General features: G+C 39.7%; 1 protein-coding gene across 1 annotated transcript; it reads left to right on the forward strand.

Annotated features, from left to right (window-relative positions):
* The first annotated feature begins 308 nt into the window (after positions 1 to 308).
* Positions 309 to 6,355, forward strand: OR4D10 (olfactory receptor family 4 subfamily D member 10). The gene is made up of 3 exons (NM_001004705.2): positions 309 to 635; positions 733 to 787; positions 4,256 to 6,355. Exon 3 carries the CDS (start codon positions 4,424 to 4,426, stop codon positions 5,357 to 5,359), a length of 936 nt encoding a protein of 311 aa, NP_001004705.1. The 5' UTR covers positions 309 to 635; positions 733 to 787; positions 4,256 to 4,423; the 3' UTR covers positions 5,360 to 6,355.
* The last annotated feature ends 300 nt before the right edge of the window (positions 6,356 to 6,655 follow it).

The following is a 6,655-nucleotide window of genomic DNA, read 5'->3' on the forward strand; positions in this document are numbered from 1 at the left end:
CTATATTCACTCTGTGTTTAATTAGAAACTGGACTGGAAGCAAATTACTTTAGGTCCAGTTCTCCTAGGTTTTTGGCAACCTAATTGGAACCTACAGGTAGATGATGTCCTCTGAGCCTTGCAAGCTGTGAAAATTGGGCTCAAAGTCTCTCTGGCATAGCACTTGACATGTATTAACAAATTTCTTATTGAACTGTGGTTAAGGAGATAGGTTTCCTCTATTGCCTCTAGAGAATTTGGCCACCAACCAAAATGTACCCATATGTGTCTGTGTATACATGGTATGCTTTGGTAACATTTTAATAACTCCCATTGAAACTCCCTTACCAACAGCAAAATCAGCCACTTGACTTCTCTGTTGTCCAATAACATTCTCTTTCCAATTCATAAATTAAGCATGAGCCTCAGAGGTTTGAACATAAGTCAAGGACACAATGGAAAAACTTTAAAAGATATGATTCTTTGAATCTGACTTTTCTCTCCAAAAGCAGAGCAAAGACACTGCGATATTTAGCATAGCAAAGGGCTTAACTTTTAAACAAGATTTTCAAGAATTAATGCCAGTAGTCTTCTGTTATGCACTATATCTAATAGCATCAAATTTGTAGTTGGAGTTTTGGGATCAAAGGAACTAGGTAAAGACAAACTTCTAGCTAAGGTTAAGGTTATGCATAGTGAAACAGATGTTTTTATTGATTATGTATGACTAATTTAACTTTGAATATTTTTCAGGTATATCAAATGCTTCAGAGTTAAAATAATCATCTCAATGACAGAAACAACAAAGGTGGGTGTTAAACATTGGAAAAAATGATATTGTGTTAAGGGAGATGCTGGAAATGTGATCCATTTGGTGTGAGAGGAGGCATCATGCATTCACTGTGACCCTTTGAGTTGCTTATGTGTGAGGCCACCTCAGCCTAAGGTCAATGCAAAAGGGTTTCCAGAGCGGCTTTCTGCCAAATGCTTACCTTCGGAAAGACTTTTTCAAATGCTTTTCTGATACAAAGTTTCAACCTGTAGTGACTGAACTTGGGGAAAAAATGAAATATTGTGTCTTCCATACTGTTTCCATACCTTCCATTTCATACGTTCTTTCTTCACCCAACAAAGATTCATGCTATATTCCATATGAAAGACAAGATTTACACTAGTGCAGACTTACCTAATGGGTGGTGGTGACAAATAAATCAAGTTTTTATACCACTTCATATATACAAAGGACTCAAATACTGGATTTTGTTACTGACAGAAATGATCATATCTCTTACCACAGGTGATGTGCCAACCAAATCTTCTCTTACAACACGTCTCACTTTTTATCGTGTATCATCTTCACTTATTTGCACAAATCTTCCATTTCTGTTGGTCTGTAAACACTTTAGAAATGTGGCCCAACTTATTTGTATACATTTGAAGATTGCGATATATGTCCACCGGCTATGTATAAGGTGGCGTGAATAATAATTATAAAATTTATTCCAAATGACCAATGACAGCTTATAAACATAGGCATTATTCGAAAGATGACAATATCTCTCATTGCTGTGTGATCCCTCCACCCTCTAAGCTTTGATCCAAAGAGGGATAGAGCAGAAGAAAGTGTGATGATACAGTATCCGCTGCCTCCCAGAAAGGGGTCACTGTCTTTTTCTCACCCCAACACTCAAGCAAGATCCATAACCTTTCATCACCACTTTCCAGAACACCCCACTCCATGTAATACTAGAAGTTCATGGATCAGAGTTGAGAGTAAAGAAGTCCAAGGGACCGGGCGCAGAGGCTCAGGCCTGTAATCTCAGCACTTTGGGAGGCCGAGGCGGGCGGATCACGAGGTCAGGAGATCGAGACCATCCTGGCTAACACAGTGAAACCCCGTCTCTACTAAAAATACAAAAAAAAAAATTAGCCGGGCGTGGTGGCGTTCACCAGTAGTCCCAGGTACTAGGGAGGCTGAGGCAGGAGAATGGCGTGAACCCGGGAGGCGGAGCTTGCAGTGAGCTGAGATAGCGTCACTGCACTCCAGCCTGGGTGACAGAGTGAGACTCTGTCTCAAAAAAAAAAAAAAAAGGAAAAAGAAAAAAGAAATCAAAGGACATTGTCCCACCTACCATGGATGAACATTTCAGGCTTTCCTATCCTGATTAGGAGAACAAGAAGCTCAGCAGGCTTAAACCATTCATTCACCAACCAAACGATACCTAGGCACCATTGAATGTAATAATAAATCTTTTATTAATGAGGTTTCTGTTACTAATAAAAACCTCCTTCCATTCCACACTTCCTCCCTCTGTACTAACCACGCTGCATTTTCCAATGTTCTCTGTATAAGCATGTCATCTTCACCACCGACTGACGTTTTACGGGCTGTTTCCTTTGCATGATACATCCTGTTTCTGTTTCCTGGAAATTCATCTAAATTGAGGGAAAACTTCCCCTCCTCTAGGAAGGCTTCCCGCACTAGTCTCAGCTAGAGCGCTGCTGTGCTTCCACAGCGCTATATTGGTACCAGCATCATCTCCCATGTGTGATTATGCACTTACATGTTTATATTTTCCATCAGAGCGAAAATTGCTCCAGAGTAAGAACTTTGCTGTGGTCATGTGAATATTGCTATTACTAGCAGAATCCCAGCCACACTATAGGGATTACAAAATGTGTGCCGAAGGACTGAAGGATTCATTGGCTAAACAAAAGCCTTCTCACTGGCCTAATAAATAGAGGGTCAGGAATGTAATCAAATCCAACATTAAGGAGGCATGTTCCATTTTAATGACATCAATTTCTGCAGCACAGTCTTATCGGAGGTGCTGCAGAGGTGTGGAATATTGGGCTGAACCTATGCTGATCGAAACTTACCTGAAAATTTTATAATTTTTTAAACAGTTCATCTGAGACTGTTTTTCTGCCACCTTTACCCTAAAGTAAATGGGAAGAAACAACTGATCAACTGAATGCTTAAACAATGATCATATGTTGTAACACATGTAATGTTGTAAGCTTTGGAGGTAAACAGAATCACATCCTAAGTTCAGTTCCAGCACTTACTACTGCTGTGAGTTTGAGAAAATGAGCCTACCTTTCTGAAGATCGTTTCTTTATCTGTGGGGAGAAATTTTTTTAAGAAATCTTCTTTATAGGAATACATAAGAGAATAATTCACAAGACACATTTACTCTTGGGGTATGGAGATTGCAGGGACGTCAACGCTCTCCAGCTGATTTTCTCCCAGACACATGCAGTAGGTGAAGATAGGTTCTACTGTTGGTGAAGACAGGAAAGGTGAAGGAAAAACAGGACAGGAGGTTAGACCTTTCAACAAAGCCTGAAATTGAGCATCAACATTCAAACCCCAGGGTCTATACCCTCACTCAGTCTACTTTTCTCTTTTCTGAGACAGGGTCTCACTCTGTCACCCAGGCTGGAGTGCAGGGTGCAATCATGCCTCACTGCAGCCTGGACTTCCGGGGCTCAAGTGATCCTCCCACTTCAGCTTCCTAAGTAGCTGGGACCACAGGTGTATGCCACCACGCATGGCTAATTTTTTTTATTTTTTGTAGTCATAGGGTCTCCCTATGTTGCCTCACTCAATCTTGTATTCTCTCAGGTGAATCTTTCCCTTGACGCAGATTCCTACTCATCTCTGCTGACTCCAACTGTTATTACCCACACAGAATCCATCTGACACAGGGCAGAGTGGAGGAGTCAGAGCCCCAGTCATTCAGCTAGTTGATGGCAGAATAAGGACCGATGGAACCAATGCTCCAAGCTCCCCAATCCAGAGCTCTCTTCACTACATCCCCCTGCCTCTCTCAGCAGCGAAATTCTTCCTTTGGGGGAAAAAAAAATCACCTTTCAGATTTTCAAAACTTCTGTTGGTTCCTATCAAAATGTATTCCTGTACAGGGCAAAAAAAAACTGATAATAATAATAGTGACCATAAACCAGGAGCAGCCACAACATTAAAAAAAAAACCTGGTACTTTCACTTCTGTCTTTTGAGAAAGCCAGAACTTTTGACCTCCAAAGCAGTATAAGTGACAAGAAAAGATGAAAAGATTTCCTTAAAGCAGAATAAAGGGAGGAAAGATTTATTACATTGGGAGTTTTGTACCAAAAACATCAAATTAAATATGGGTAATTGATTTTTTAAAATACACTATGTCACTACTTAACATATTTTCTTTCCCAAAGTAGTTCTATAGGAGAAGAATTATTGAATGACTTTACATATGATAATTTGATTTTATCACCAGACTAACTGAAATCTGAAAAACGTGAACAATGCAACAAACTGCAAAAACTACAACCGCATGGGAAGTTTCTGCACTGCATTCTAGGTGTTTAGGAAGACAACAAAATAAATATCCCAGTGCTTTCACATGACATGGTTTAAAACCAAAGAGAATAAAGAGGATGATTGAATGGAGATGGAAAACTGCACCAGGGTAAAAGAATTTATTTTCCTTGGCCTGACCCAGAATCGGGAAGTGAGCTTAGTCTTATTTCTTTTCCTACTCTTGGTGTATGTGACAACTTTGCTGGGAAACCTCCTCATCATGGTCACTGTTACCTGTGAATCTCGCCTTCACACGCCCATGTATTTTTTGCTCCATAATTTATCTATTGCCGATATCTGCTTCTCTTCCATCACAGTGCCCAAGGTTCTGGTGGACCTTCTGTCTGAAAGAAAGACCATCTCCTTCAATCATTGCTTCACTCAGATGTTTCTATTCCACCTTATTGGAGGGGTGGATGTATTTTCTCTTTCGGTGATGGCATTGGATCGATATGTGGCCATCTCCAAGCCCCTGCACTATGCGACTATCATGAGTAGAGACCATTGCATTGGGCTCACAGTGGCTGCCTGGTTGGGGGGCTTTGTCCACTCCATCGTGCAGATTTCCCTGTTGCTCCCACTCCCTTTCTGCGGACCCAATGTTCTTGACACTTTCTACTGTGATGTCCACCGGGTCCTCAAACTGGCCCATACAGACATTTTCATACTTGAACTACTAATGATTTCCAACAATGGACTGCTCACCACACTGTGGTTTTTCCTGCTCCTGGTGTCCTACATAGTCATATTATCATTACCCAAGTCTCAGGCAGGAGAGGGCAGGAGGAAAGCCATCTCCACCTGCACCTCCCACATCACTGTGGTGACCCTGCATTTCGTGCCCTGCATCTATGTCTATGCCCGGCCCTTCACTGCCCTCCCCATGGATAAGGCCATCTCTGTCACCTTCACTGTCATCTCCCCTCTGCTCAACCCCTTGATCTACACTCTGAGGAACCATGAGATGAAGTCAGCCATGAGGAGACTGAAGAGAAGACTTGTGCCTTCTGATAGAAAATAGAAAAAAAAATCCTCAGCTCTTCATCACCAAAGATATCTTATATTTATTATTTTTCCCATGAAGTCATATTCATATATTCAAATATATTGTCAAACCAACTACACTTAGTAATAATTAATTTTTCTATTTATGTTAGTAAGTAACTGATAAGCTTCTGGTCAGGGAGAGATTCACACCTTCTAATTGAAAATAAACCAGAGCTCCCTCCTCTTTACCACCAAGATTTTGTTTCATGATTTTTCTTCCATGGACTCCAAGTTCTGAAAGTGTTGCCTGCTGAATTGAATATATTTATTTAGTGATTGCTAAGTATTTGTTTTATTTTCATAAGTAATACATAAAATTATATATATACCTAGCAAATGCATATTATATATAGTAAATCTTCTTATCTGCATTTAGTTGACATAAATATTAATAATTTAAACAGAGCCTTTGTGATTCAGAAAAGAGAGGGAAAATTGTTAGCAAATGTGTATATGATTTTGCAGTCCAATTTTAAAGAAAAATTAAGCCAAATGCACGCAGACATTATCATTACCTTTCTGCTCCTATTACAGTAAATGAAGGTGTGGGGTGTATCTGAAACACAATGGAGTTTGGGGATTGACTTTCTGTATAATTTTCATAAGGTAAACGTATCCTACATGATCCTTATGATGGGCAAGGTCATTACCTTGCCCTTTCTTGAACCCCAAGCTCACTGGCCACCCTACCGCATTTCCTTGGCACTCTGTGCTTAGGGTTAGCATTGCACTCAGGACTCTATTTTGAAATTTCCTATTTTCTTGTCTCTTTCTCTTACTGGGCAGTGACTTCCCCAGGAGCAGGGATTATGTTTTATTTACTGTCACAGCAGCTAAAACATACTAAGACTTCAACAATATGTTGCTGAATAAATAGCTCAATGATTGAATGTTTTCACTTACTTGATATACTCTGTGGCCTGTGAGTTTCTACAAATGACAAAAACACATTAAGCTACTTTAAGCTATGCATATACATATATAAAGCTTGGAAAAAAGTGAAAAATGATTATTTTACACATTGCTGCAATTATGTTTTTAGCTGTTCACTTAATATTTTTTATAGGGATCTGGAGTTCTTATTGAAACTGGAATTCTTTCTGTATCTGATACTAATATTGTCCCACAACCTAGACATGCAAGAAATGTAACGTTTTAAAATTTTATATAACTTGATTTCTATTTCAAGCTTCCATTCAGTTGTGGTGGCTGGAAATTTAATCTTTCATTACGAAGTTCCCTTAATGGTTTCTGAGTTCCAGGGAAAGAG

This window comes from Homo sapiens, chromosome 11 (genome assembly GCF_000001405.40).
Source record: "Homo sapiens chromosome 11, GRCh38.p14 Primary Assembly".
Classification (NCBI taxonomy): domain Eukaryota; kingdom Metazoa; phylum Chordata; class Mammalia; order Primates; family Hominidae; genus Homo; species Homo sapiens.